The sequence below is a fragment of the Homo sapiens genome, chromosome 2, assembly GCF_000001405.40.
Source record: "Homo sapiens chromosome 2, GRCh38.p14 Primary Assembly".
Lineage (NCBI taxonomy): Eukaryota > Metazoa > Chordata > Mammalia > Primates > Hominidae > Homo > Homo sapiens.
This window is the reverse complement of record NC_000002.12, coordinates 111696830-111709496: the sequence shown is the minus strand read 5'-3', so window position 1 is coordinate 111709496 and position 12667 is coordinate 111696830. Positions and strand designations below refer to the sequence as shown.

The window sequence follows — 12667 nt, the reverse complement described above, 5'->3', positions numbered from 1 at the left end:
CTGGGCACCAGGCTCAGCTCTGCAAGAGCAAAGCCAGACCAGGACAAGAGCTGTTGATTTTTACAGCCATGTTTAACTAAAATTCCACATAGAACATTTTCTAAAAACGCAAACTTTGAACCATTTATTATGGAACATTTTTTTCTTATAATTTTTGGTAGAAATTTCTTTTCAGTAGCTTTTTAAAATTATAAAGTCAACATATAGAAAATAATAGAGGGGCAAAGAGAAGATAAAAATGAAACATAATCTCACCATCCAGAGATACCCACTTTTGACATTTTGTTGTATTTCTTCCCAGTTCTCTGTATATACACATATATGTGTAATTTTATTGTTGTTTTGGAATTCGTTGTGTATAAATTTTGTACTATAGCTTTCCACTTTGCATCATATAACTATGTTTCTGCATCATTAAATAGTCTTGAAAAACACCATCTTGAAGTTGCTACAATAGATTCCATCTTATAGCAGTGCCATAATTATTTAACTGTTCCCATATTGTGGGACAGATGCACTGTTGCCAGTTTTTTTACAACTATATATAAAGCTTCAATGAACATCTTTAAAAAGAAGTCCAAGTTTCTGACTCCTTCCTTCCCATGGTTTGCCAGAAGGGTTATTGCCAGGTGGAGGGATATAAATTCCTTTATTATAAAGGCCTGAAACCCAGATTGCCAAATTGTTTTCCAGAATAGTTCTTCCAAAGACACATGCCTGAGGCTGCCAGCAACTGCCAGCAACCTCAGCTGGGGGCTGTGGAGGTGAGAGGAGGCCATTTATTCATTGCACATTCTTTCTGTGATTTATGAGATGAAGAGAGAGGTTGAGATTTGACTTGTTGCTTACAGAGCCGTAGGCCACAACGGAGGAAGGGAATGAATGAGTGTTGAGAATGCACCTGTGTCAGATCTGATGGGAACCATAATGACCCAATGCCTATCACCCAAGCTGTGGTGAGCAGTAACATCCAGCAGGTGTGTGGACTCCTGAATTCCTGACGTTTCTTCTGACTTTTCTCTGTACCCAGTTAACAGCCAGCAGGTTCCAAGCGTGCTCAGGTCAGGCTGGACTCTCTCTCTGAAGAACATCAAAATTGTCACTTTACACGTAATTGTAAGTACACAGACTCTGGGAAGGCAGTCCTTAGGGTGTCCTGAGAGGAAGTATTGGCTTTCTGCAGTAATGTTTCTCTTTTGTTCGGGTTCAGAGGCTACTTTTCTTGCTAACTGCTGAGTTCTGAGCTCCTGGGTGAAGTAGATTCTGAGTGCCAGTGAAGCAGAACATAATGATCCTCAAATTTAGGTTTATTTCTTTAAATAACCATAAAAAAGATTTGTAGAAAGGTCTTAGCTAAAAACACGATGCCTGGAGCCAGCCATACGCTCAGCCAATGTTCGTGATGCTGAAATGAAATGAAGTGACGAATGTCACCCCAGGAGGTGTCCAAAGAGCACCCTCCAGGGGTCAAAACCTCTACCAGGCATCCATTGCCACCTCTTCCCAAGACAGCTGAGGGCCCAGGACCAGGGCAGAAGGTCAAGCATTAGACGCTCCAGGTGCCTTGTCCCCCAGGCTGGCATCTGCCCGGTGCCAGGTGCCAGTAGAAATGTGAGAAACAGTGTCCTGCTGCAGGTGTGTGACACCACAGAGCCATGGGCTGTCGTGGCTGATGTCCGTGGGGTTGAATCTGGGCTTCGGTGGCTCTGCAGACATTACTTAATCTCACTCATCATCACATCCTTCATCTATAAAATGGGCTTACAGGCTGTCCACCTTTTGAGTGGTTGGAATCACTGATGGAAAAGTTGATATTGGAAGTGTACTGAAAAACTTAGGAGGGCTGGGCACGGTGGGTCACGCCTGTCATCCCAGCACTTTATGAGGCTGAGGTGGGTGGATCACTTGAGGCCAGGAGTTCAAGACCAGCCTGGCCAACATGGTGAAACCCTGTCTCTACTAAAATACAAAAATTAGCTGTGCATGGTGGCACACGCCTGTAATCCCAGCTACTTGGGAGGCTGAGGCAGGAGAATCGCTTGAACCCAGGAGGTGGAGGTTGTAGTGAGCCGAGACTGTGCCACTGCATTCCAGCCTGGGTGACAGAGCAAGATTCGGTCTAAAAAAAAAAAGAAAAGCTTGGGAGTTGCTAAATGAATGTTACCTTCCATGTGCCTCGTCCCACAGATTGAGCAATCCAGGAGCAGAGGCAGTGACCTAGAATCACTAGGGGTGATTATCATAAGAGATTTTCAGTATGTATGGGGGCCTTTGGGGGAGATATTTTCCCTCGAACTGAGGGAGGTCTTCTTGCGTCTTCAGGTGGTGCTTGTCCCACGGGCAGGATGCACAGTGGCTCCTACACATGGGGTTTGGCAACCCTGTCCCTCCTCACCTTGGTGCCCCAGCAGTCCCTTCATATTTCTGTCCTTCGCATCTTCTCTGAATTCCTGAATTCCTAGCTGCTGCCTTGGCAGCATGGCCTGAACACTGTGCCCACTGGCGGTCGTTTAGAGGGCAGAGGTGTTCCCTGGGCTCATAGGGAGCCCAGCCGGGCACAGGGCACAGCACTTGCAGGTGGATGGAGGCTCAGGAGGCACAAGGGTATTGCGGGCAGATGAAGTGGGGCTGTCCCCTCGCCTGCCCTTGCTGAGAAGGAGACTCTGGTGGGGTCAGAGGGTCCCAGTCCCTGGCAAGGCAGCCTAGTGGGTACCATTTGGGAACAGGCAACTCATAGCCTACTGCCGCTTGTGCATGGTTCAGCCTATAGAAGGCAGCCTTGGCTTGCAGCCCAGTCCCAGTTCCTTCCAGGTGGGACCACAAGACCTGAGCTATGTGACACAGAGCATGACAACTTTCACGTGGGCCACCTCTTCTAGAATGGCTATGAGGCCTGACAGGTCCCTGCGCCCCCTTGGACAGCTAGACTTGTGACAGTAAGTGATCAAACAGGGACAGGGCCTGGTGTGTGGCCGTCCCTCTGCCCATAGGAGGTTACCAGGTCTAGGCTGAGCTGGAGCTCCATAGCACTGGTTTCTAGAATAGTGCAGATGCTGGGCCTATCCTGGAGGCTACACTTAAAATAAAAAAAGAACAAAAAAATCTTTATTAGGGTGTAACTCTTCACAGTTATTCCTAGTGCATAGGGGAGCAACTGTTCATGATGTTTTCTGGAGGCTTCTTAAAGGAAACCTCTCACCCTCTCTCGGGTGTGGCACTTGGCTGCTGGGAACAGACAGTTTATCTTGCAGAGAAAACTGTTTTGCAAGAGGTTTCCCACCATTATGGTCTGAGGGAGGGTCCCTGCCAGCTTTTCTTAGTCACTTGGGCTTAGAGGGAAGGTGGTTTTCGTTTTTTTTTCTCTGTTCTTTTTTTCTGAAGGCAAGAGCCATCTGGGGGCAGGGCACACATGGGTAATTACCCTGACTTGGAGAGACAAAAGGACTGCTGATCAGCAGTTCTCAGGGCAGCTGCAGGTGGCTGATGCTTTTGGTGGAATATCACAAAGTACCCAGGCTGGGGGTGAGTCAGAAATCCTTAGGTCACTTGTGGTTTTCTTTCATGGTTTTGCTGTGACTATTAACTTGTTTTTACTTAACAAGAAAAACAGGTGTTTGGGTGTCTGTTTGAAACAGTGCTGCCCTGCTGTTAGCAACTCACTGTAGTCACGAGGCTGCCCTGGCTTGGCGACACTGAATACCTAACTGGAATAAGGAGCAAACCCTGGAAGAAGCCGGAAGCCAGTCCCGTGAGAGGGATGGGGCATCCCTGAGCACAAATACAGAACCTGGTTGTTGTGAATTTAAATCGAACTTGGAGTCAATCAGCCAATTCATTAATTTGAATTGCTTACTTACTGCGCCAGCCCCTAGCACCCTCCTGCACAGCTTTGGAGATGAACTTCCACCTTGGAATAAGCGTGTGTGCTTGGATCTTGGCTTTGCTTTTGTATGTGTAGCCAGGTGAGCCGGCAGCTCTCACCTGAGTTGTGTTGCTTTCTGGAGGGAAATAGAGGCAGTGCCTTCGTCCACATGCTGCTGTGGGTTTTCTTTCCACCTGGCCAGGCAGCCAGATGCTGCAGCTTTTTAAGTCTCATTAACGTCAACGTGTGCACTGCCCGTTACCAGTACCAAGAGACTGACAAGAACTCCTGCCTCCCCAGCTGCAGGTGCTGAAGGCTTCCCTCAAGTCCTTAGGCCTTAAAGGATGAGTTTCAGGCTTTCTGCAAAGACTATCAGAAATGGGAATCTGGCTCAAAGCAAGTCTGTGCAATTCTGCACAGGGATCAAAGGAAATGGAGGCACCAGTTTGAGTCCTGGGCCTTGGGCCTGGACATGGCTGGGATCTGCCAGAAAAACAGACCAGGAACTCTTTTTTTTCTCTTTTTTTTGAGACAGTTTCTTGCTCTTGTCACCCAGGCTGGAGTGCAGCGGCACGAACGCAGCAACTTACCGCCGCATTGACTTCCTGGGCTCAAGCGATTCTCCCACCTCAGCCTCCCAAGTAGCTGAAACGACAGGCATGTGCCGGCTAATTTTTCAGTTTTTTGTAGAGATGGGGTCACACTATGTTGCCCAGGCTGATCTCTGACTCCTTGGCTCAAGTGATCCTCCTGCCTTGGCCTCCCAAAGTGCTGGGATTACAGACATGAGCCACCACGCCCAGCCTGCTCTTTTTTTTTTTTTTTTTTAATTTCTTTAAAAAAATTTTTAAAAAGAAAATTGGGTGGAGAAAAACAAAGTGTTTTTTAAAAGAAAAAACAAAAACAGGAGTGGGGCTGTATTCTGCAGCTTGGAGCACAGGTGACTGTAATGCCGAATAGTGATTGCTCAGGGCATAGCCTTCCCCATCCCCTTTCACCAAACCAGACCCCAAGGCTGTGGGAATTCCTGGAAATCATGGGGTACTTGTGCTCTGTCCTGTATGGCCGAGAGCTCCAAAGATTTGCTGCCTTGCTGTGCCACTGCGGCTGGCAGGGAAGAACCAGAGCAGCCGGTGAGTCAGACACTCGGGGTGATTGTTGCTGAAGTCATTTCTGAGGGAGGTGGTCAGCACCTCACTGCAACCAACTGCTCTCCAGGAGGCACCAGTTGCAAAGGTGGGCGAGTGCAGTCGCTGCAGGCAGACTTTGCTCTGTATCTTGCTGTGTCCCCAGTACTGTGGACATGCCCAGATCCCAGCAGACAGTTCATCTGTTGGATTAATCTGTTTTATTCTTTTTGAAGAAGAGGCAGTCCAGGGTGGAAAGCCTGAGAGTGCATCACCCGTCACTTCAGGAGACATCCTCACCTCCGATTCCTTATGTATATCAGATAGGGTGTTCGTGGGCCCTTCCCTGGGCCTCCCTGAGGTGTGAATTGCCTGTGTGAAGGGAAGTTGAAGCTGGTGCCTTGTAGGTCCCCTAACAGTGGCTGCAGGTGAGCCCTGAGCCATCTGGGCAAAGCCAGCTGTCATAAATGACCAAGCAAGTTGGCTTGTGGCTAAATTGATGTCCTCACCAGCATGTCCTCGCCAGAAGGGTGAAACTTCATCAGGACAGGCCGCACGCCAGTCGCAACTGCCCTTGAGGCAAATGAGAGACTCCTTCCATCTCTGCAATTCCCACACTTGGGGAGTGCCTGTGCTTTGCAGAGGCCCATGGTGAAGAGACAAGGGTGGCTTATTGTCTGGCTGGGGAAGCCCAGGGCTCAGGGCTCCTGGCACAGGGAAGGTGCCGGGAGCCCACAGGCTTCCAAGGGCCTGAGTGAGGATGGCTGGTGGATGTCTGCCCTGCTGGCCACGCTCACTACTCACCGAGGCAGAGTTGGCTCTGCTCAGCCTCTGAATGCCTAGGAGGCATTTGTTGTCTGTGCAGGGACAATGAGAATCCAGGATTAGAGGGGGACAAGGGTCCTAAAATCCACACAGGCCACTCCTAAGGTTTGTTGATTTGACTAGCATGAATTGAGTGCCTACCGTATACAGGAAACTGTGCCAGGTTCACAGGGATGTATCTGTGGCTGGTAGTGGATGAAATGAGGCATCGTGACAGGAGCTGCTGTCAAGCTTCCCGGAGCCTGAAGGTTCTTAGGGAAGTGGAGATGGGGATGACAGGGGCATTCAGGAACTACCAACAGAAGAGAAGCATTTACTCTTTTCTCTTTCTTTCTTTCTTTTTTTTTTTTTGAGACAGGGTCTCACTCTGTGGCCTGGGCTAGAGTGCAGTGTGGTGTGATCATAGCTCACTGCAGCCTCGGTCTCCCAGGTTCAAGCGATCCTCCCACCTCAGCCTCCCGAGTAGCTGGGACTACAGATGTGCACCACCACACCCGGTGAATTTTTGTATTTTTTTGTAGAGACAGGGTCTTGCCATGTTGCCCAGGCTGGTCTCGAATTCCTGGGCTCAAGCAATTCGCTCACCTCAGCCTCCCAAAGTGTTGGGATTACAGGTGTGAGCCACTGCGCCCTGCCAGCTCTTTTATGTTTAAAATCCAGTCCTTGGTTTTTGTTTATCCATCTGGCAGTGGCTCCAGGAATACAGTCACCCCAGCATGTCTGCCACTTACCTGCCCAGGTCGATCTTCCCATCTATCAGACTTGGGCACAAAGTGTGGCGGGTTGGTGCCTAGAAGAGAGATCAGGAGGAGGGGAGACCCCACAGAGCAGTCTGGTGCCCCTCCTCCTCTGTTTACCGACTTCCTTGGAAACCAGGACCATGCTTTACTGCCTGTGCTCCATTGTCCTCTCACTTCCTGGAGATGGACACTGAGTCCCTTTTTCTCTCTCCCAACATCGAATGACCCTGACCTTTCCTTCCTCCACAGTCCGCACTTCACCAGAACATGATCTCGCTCTGTGCGAAGATGCATGTGGTCCGGGGAGGGGAGCCTGGCCTGGCCTGTCCTCCAAGTCTGCCTTCCGGAGGGAGCGAGAAGTCGTGGGCTGAAGCTGAGTGTCTCTCCCCGCAGCCATCAGGAGTCCACCAGCTGTGGACACGTGGGAGGGGTTCTTCATTCTTGGGGCCTCCCTTCCTTTGTGCTCACACAGAGAGGGAGCTGTGAAAACTGCTCTAACACAAGGGCCTGGGAGAGAAGGTGGACCGACCGCACCTTTCATCTGGTGTGGGTGGGGAATTGTCTTTCCTTGTTCTCAGTTCCTGTGAAGGGAATTTCCTCTCCCCTACCACGGAGGGGCAGTGTTGGGCTGAACACTTTGTTTTTCTGCACCCAATTTTCTGACTTGCCCCCAGGGAGGTGCTGTGTTTTGTCTGACCAGAGAGACTGTTGAGGGCCTGATGCATGTTGGCTCAACTTATGAGCGACCATGGCCACCATGTTGCTGTCATGAACTCTCTCCCTCTCTCTCTCTCTCTCCTCCTCTCTTCTCTCTCACCCACCACGCATCTCACCACCGGGAAGAAGTGCCAGGGCCCTTCTCTGTTTTCTTTCTGAGGGAAAAGGACATCTGTGGCAGAACCAGTCTCTTTTGACAGCCCATTTCTTGCCTGCCGTCTGCTGGACCTTTGGGCCGGGGCGTAACCTTCCAAACGGGACTTGGCAGACTCAATTCTCCCCTTTGGCAGTTCCGAGCCCAAGACTTGAGGGTGATGCTAGGAGCCTCCAGTTCGCCCTCTGGGACCAACCAAGTTCTAGAATCCAGCTTTTCCACAGAGCGGTGAGCTTTCCAAGTTTGGGGTTATCTAGTCCTTATGTTCATCAAGTGTTCTCTCACATGAGTTGTAAGATTTCAGGGAAATGTAAGTTTTCTTGAGCTCTGGCTAATCAGAAATACTCTTAGAAGTGTCTCCACTCATTCATGAGTATCATCCATGTCCTTATTGCAGTCACATTTTACGAGTTGCACTGATCTCATTGGCCAGTCTCTGCTCCATGGTGTCCAGGACCTCAGCTGGTGAGGCGCAAAGTGTCAGGTGAGGTGCAAAGGCTGAGGCCTGGAGTCCTCCAAGGCTCCCTTGCACTTATGGCACTTCATGCCAGTTATCAGCTGGGACTTCGGTTGGAGCAGGCTGCCAGCACACCTGCGTGTGGCCTGGGCCTTCTCTCAGCACTGTAGCCTCAGGGCAGGAGTGGGTGTCAGATTTCTTACTTGGGGCTCAAGATTGCAAATACCAAGGTGGAGACTGCATCTCATTTTATGACCCAACCTTGGAAGTCATGTGAAACACTGGCTACATTCTTTTGGTTGCAGGCAAGTCCCAAACCTTTCCAGATTCAAGACATAGGGAATTAGATTCTAGCTCTTGGTGGAGGAAGATGAGTTTCTAGAATAGCATGTGGGATGGGAGGTATTCTGAGGCTACCTTTGGAAACACAATCTGCCATAGACCAGTCAGGGAGAAGGAAACTGTAATGCTTCCTCTTTCATCTGCCCAGGCTTACTGGTAGACACATGGTTGAGAAGGGCAAAACCTAGGCCAGGTGCGGTGGCTTACACCTGTAATCCCAGCACTTTAGGAGGCTGAGGTGTGCAGATCACTTGAGGTCAGGAGTTTGAGACCAGCCTGGCCAACATGGTGAAACCCTGTCTCTGCTGAAAATACAAAAATTAGCCAGGCATCGTGGCAGGCACCCGTAATCCCACCTACTCGGGAGGCTGAGGTGGGAGAATGCCTTGAACCCGGGTGGCAGAGGTTGCAGTGAGCCAAGATCACACCACTGCACTCCAGTCTGGGCAACAGAGTAAGACTCCATCTCAAAATAAATAAATAAATAAAGCAAAACCTGGCAGGAAAGCTCCCATGAACAACCAGTAATGGAAACAGTTGCAGATTTCTCATGCCTTTGACCAGGAAACACCCACATGGAGGGCAGGGGGCTTGGGCACCTCCATGTGGTTGGCCAGCTCCACGGGCTCTTCTGTACTCTTGAATCTGAGCTCTTGCATTATGCAGTGAAGTAGCTATTTCCTTGCCATTTTGGGCCAAAAATACTACCACAAAGCGGGGATGATAGCTTTCTGTAAAAGTGCTTTGTGTAGTGCCTGGGACCTAGTACATGCTTAACAAACAAGAATATTATTATTCTTGTCTGGCTTTCTCATAATCATTAATGCATGCTCTAGGAGGAATAGTGTGTCCTTTCTCTTCTTCTCCTTTTTTTTTTTTTTTTTTTTTTGAGATGGAGTCTTACTCTGTCGCCCAGGCTGGAGTGCAGTGGCTTGATCTCTGCTCACTGCAACCTCTGCCTCCTGGGTTCACGCCATTCTTCTGCCTCCGTCTCCCAAGTAGCTGGGACTACAGGTGTCCACCACCATGGCCAGCTAACTTTTTTGTATTTTTAGTAGAGATGGGGTTTCACCATGTTGGTCAGGCTGGTCTTGAACTCTTGACCTCAGGTGATCCACCTGCCTTGGCCTCCCAAAGTGCTGGGATTACAGGCGTGAGCCACCGCGCCCGGCCTCTCTTCTTTAGTCCAGAAGATGGACTGTGTGAAGAAAGTCTCCGCCCAGCCACTGTCCTGAGGGTTTATAAAAGTCCACCTCACCCTTACCAGCTCGAGTTCCTAAAAGGTGAGGAACTTTGTGGTGATAATTTTAACATTACAGTATCTATTCAGATAGGTAGAAAACTGACTTATTCTGTTTATTTTTTTATTTATTATTATTATTATTATTATTTTGAGATGTAGTCTTGCTCTGTCACCCAGGCTGGAGTACAGTGGCGCAATCTCAGCTCACTGCAACTTCCGCCTCCCAAGTTCAAGCAATTCTCCTGCCTCAGCCTCCCAAGTAGCTGGGACTACAGGCACCATATTAGCCAGGATGGTCTTGATCTCCTGACCTTGTGATCCACCCACCTCGGACTCCCAAAGTGCTGGGATTACAGGTGTGAGCCACCTCACCTGGCCTAAACTGCCTTATTTTAAAGCCTTTAGATTGTTATGTGTTTTGGGCATGTAATGCCTATTGAATGAATCTTATGTGTGGTGAGCATAATTATTTCAAAACATCTATGATCCAATAATTCTTTAATATTATCTCCTTGAACTTGCACACTGGCTGTCTATCACTGTTCAGGTGGAAAAGAAAGTAAACTTCTTTAAACAAGTGGCTTCAGGATCACAGTAACATTTGTTTTAGGGCTGTGTGTGTGTGTGTGTGTGTGTGTGTGTGTATCATGTTTTGATACTTAGATGCTTAGACTCAGAGCAGTAGCTCTGCTGGGGACTTAGTGAGTGACGGAATACCAGCAAATGGCCACATGTGGGTGTGCGTTCTCCACGTATGGATCAGAGACCTGGAGCACATGGAGGTTCTGCCAGCTCGCACACCAGCATTCAGCAAGCAGATGGTCCTGGCAATATTTGCAGCCATTGAAAATCATGTTTTCCAAGAATATTTAATGACGGAGAGAAATATGATCTAACGTGAAGTGAATTGCATCAAGACTCTGAACTGTGTACCCAGGATGGTCTGATGAGTCAGCTATAATAACCACAGGCAGGAAGTGGAGCCAACCAAACCCTGCTGACTCATTCCCATGGACGGGGAGAAGGGGAGGAAGCTCCTATAGAAGGTGCCCAGCCCTGGGAAGGTCAGTTAACGCCTGACTGACAGGGTCAGAGGAGGAGGAGGAGCGAGCCGGGCAAGAAAGGGGGCGAGGCTGCTGGGAACAGGACAGGGCAGCACCCCTGCAAAGGTCATCATGTGGACCATTTTCCCAGGTGCCAACCCCAAACTGTCCTACCCTTTTCACTAAAGGGTGTTGGCTGCCGAGCTCTTGTTTGGTAGTTCCTTGAGTGTCCCTTAAAGTCACGTCTACATGCTTTTTAAATTTTAATTTTACAGTACTATTTGAAAGGCAACTTGAATGTGGTCTAGTCCCATAACTAGAGGGTCGGCTGAAATGAATCTATGTGGCTTCAAAAATAAATTGCAAATGTATCTTTCAGTTGTCAACCCTAATAGTTATCAATAACTTGCTTTGGGAAAGATCTTTCATCTCTATGTATTTACTATGATTAGACTCCATTAATACTATTAATATTAATAATAATATTAATCTCTGTGGCCTTTGCAAACAGTGGTGTTTATTTATTTGTAGCTGTTGGTTCAGATAGAACTGAAAAGGAGGGAAAGTGGTTTGTCTTAAGAAGGTGATGAGATGGAAAAGAACACCTTCTGGTTCTGAAGTGACCGCTTTCCACGTGCCATTTTCCCGGCCCTGCTGCCCTGTGACCTCTCCCAGGATCACTTAAGGAAAGAAAGAGGAGCTCAGACTTCCCTTCAGGGGTCTGACACCCTGGGGGCTTGGCTGCCACAGGAGTTTCTTGGCATTCAGGCTGGGGACATCCTAATTCTTGCACCTGAGAGGCCCTGTCTCTCTTCCTCCAACATTACTGACAGGCATCACGGGGTTAATTGGTGTGTGTCTAAGTTCCTTCCAAGGGAAAAGTTGTGCACATCCTTGTTAAGAGGAAAAGGAAAAAAAAAAGCTTGTTTTTTTCAGGAGGTCTACATGTTTATTGTTGAAAATGTGTATATTGACTCTCTGCTATGTATCTTCTTGTTTTTTTAAATTTTTACTTTGAAATAATTATAGACTCATATGAAGTTGTAAACATAGTACAGAGAGGTCCTGGGTACCCTCCACCCAGGTTCCCCCATTGGTTATATCTTATATAATTATAGTACAGTACCCAAACCAGGAACCTGGCATTGGTATATTGTGTGTGTATAGTTTTATGACATTTTATTACATGTGGAGAGCACTGAAACCACTACCACAATCAGGACACAGAACTGATTCGTCGCCACAAAGGGACACTGCGCTTCCCCTCCGCAGTCACACCCCCTCCGCCCCCATCGTCCCCAACCCCCGTAACCACTAATCTGTTCTCCGTGTCTATATTTTAGAAATGTTATATAAATGGAATCACACAATATATGACCTTTTGAGGCTGGATTTTATTTAATTAATTTATTTATTTGAGACAGAGTCTGGCTCTGTTGCCCAGGCTGGAGTGCAGTGGCGTGATCTTGACTCACTGCAACCTCTGCCTCCTGGGTTAAAGCAACTCTCGTGCCTCAGTCTCTCAAGTAGCTGGGATTACAGGCATGTGCCACCACTCTTGGCTAATTTTTATATAGTATTTTCAGTAGAGATGGGGTTTCATCATGTTGGCCAGGCTGGTCTCAAACTCCTGGCCTCAAGTGATCTGCCGGCCTTGGCCTCCCAAAGTGCTTGAATTACAGGTGTGAGCCACCATGCCCAGCTGGAGACTGGGTTTTTTGTTTTTTTGTTTTTTTTCACTCAGCAGGATTCCCTAGAGACCCATCCAAGTTGTGGCATATATCAATAGTCCATTCTTTTTTGTTGCTGAGTAGTACGCCATGGTGGTCATTAATTTTATGTGCCAACTTGGCTAGGTCATGGTACCCAGATATTTGGTCATGCGTTATTCTGGATGTTTCTGTGAAAGTATTTTTTTTTTTTTTTTTGAGACAGAGTCTCGCTCTGTTGCCCAGGCTGGAGTGCAGTGGCGCAATCTCGGCTCATTGCAAGCTCTGCCTCCGGGGTTCACACCATTCTCCTGCCTCAGCTTCCTGAGGTAGCTGGGACTACACGCGCCCGCCACTGCGCCAGGCTAATTTTTTGTATTTTTAGTAGAGACGGGGTTTCACCGTGTTAGGATGGTCTTGATCTCCTGACCTTGTGATCCGCCCACCT

The 12667-nt window shown here is 48.4% G+C and overlaps 5 annotated features.

Annotated features, from left to right (window-relative positions):
- Positions 2678-3461: an enhancer, noted in NCBI's record as "OCT4-NANOG-H3K27ac-H3K4me1 hESC enhancer chr2:112463613-112464396 (GRCh37/hg19 assembly coordinates)". NCBI's record gives its function as "activates a minimal SCP1, AML or CMV promoter by ChIP-STARR-seq in naive H9 embryonic stem cells {active_cell/tissue: H9 hESC(naive)}" and the evidence as "EXISTENCE:reporter gene assay evidence [ECO:0000049][PMID:30033119]".
- Positions 2678-4247: a biological region, named in NCBI's record as "OCT4-NANOG-H3K27ac-H3K4me1 hESC enhancers GRCh37_chr2:112462827-112463612 and GRCh37_chr2:112463613-112464396".
- Positions 3331-3625: a silencer, noted in NCBI's record as "tiled region #6320; K562 Repressive DNase unmatched - State 9:DNaseU". NCBI's record gives its function as "represses a minimal TATA promoter and a strong SV40 promoter by Sharpr-MPRA in K562 cells {active_cell/tissue: K562}" and the evidence as "EXISTENCE:reporter gene assay evidence [ECO:0000049][PMID:27701403]".
- Positions 3462-4247: an enhancer, noted in NCBI's record as "OCT4-NANOG-H3K27ac-H3K4me1 hESC enhancer chr2:112462827-112463612 (GRCh37/hg19 assembly coordinates)". NCBI's record gives its function as "activates a minimal SCP1, AML or CMV promoter by ChIP-STARR-seq in naive and primed H9 embryonic stem cells {active_cell/tissue: H9 hESC(naive and primed)}" and the evidence as "EXISTENCE:reporter gene assay evidence [ECO:0000049][PMID:30033119]".
- Positions 6604-7389: an enhancer, noted in NCBI's record as "H3K27ac-H3K4me1 hESC enhancer chr2:112459685-112460470 (GRCh37/hg19 assembly coordinates)". NCBI's record gives its function as "activates a minimal SCP1, AML or CMV promoter by ChIP-STARR-seq in primed H9 embryonic stem cells {active_cell/tissue: H9 hESC(primed)}" and the evidence as "EXISTENCE:reporter gene assay evidence [ECO:0000049][PMID:30033119]".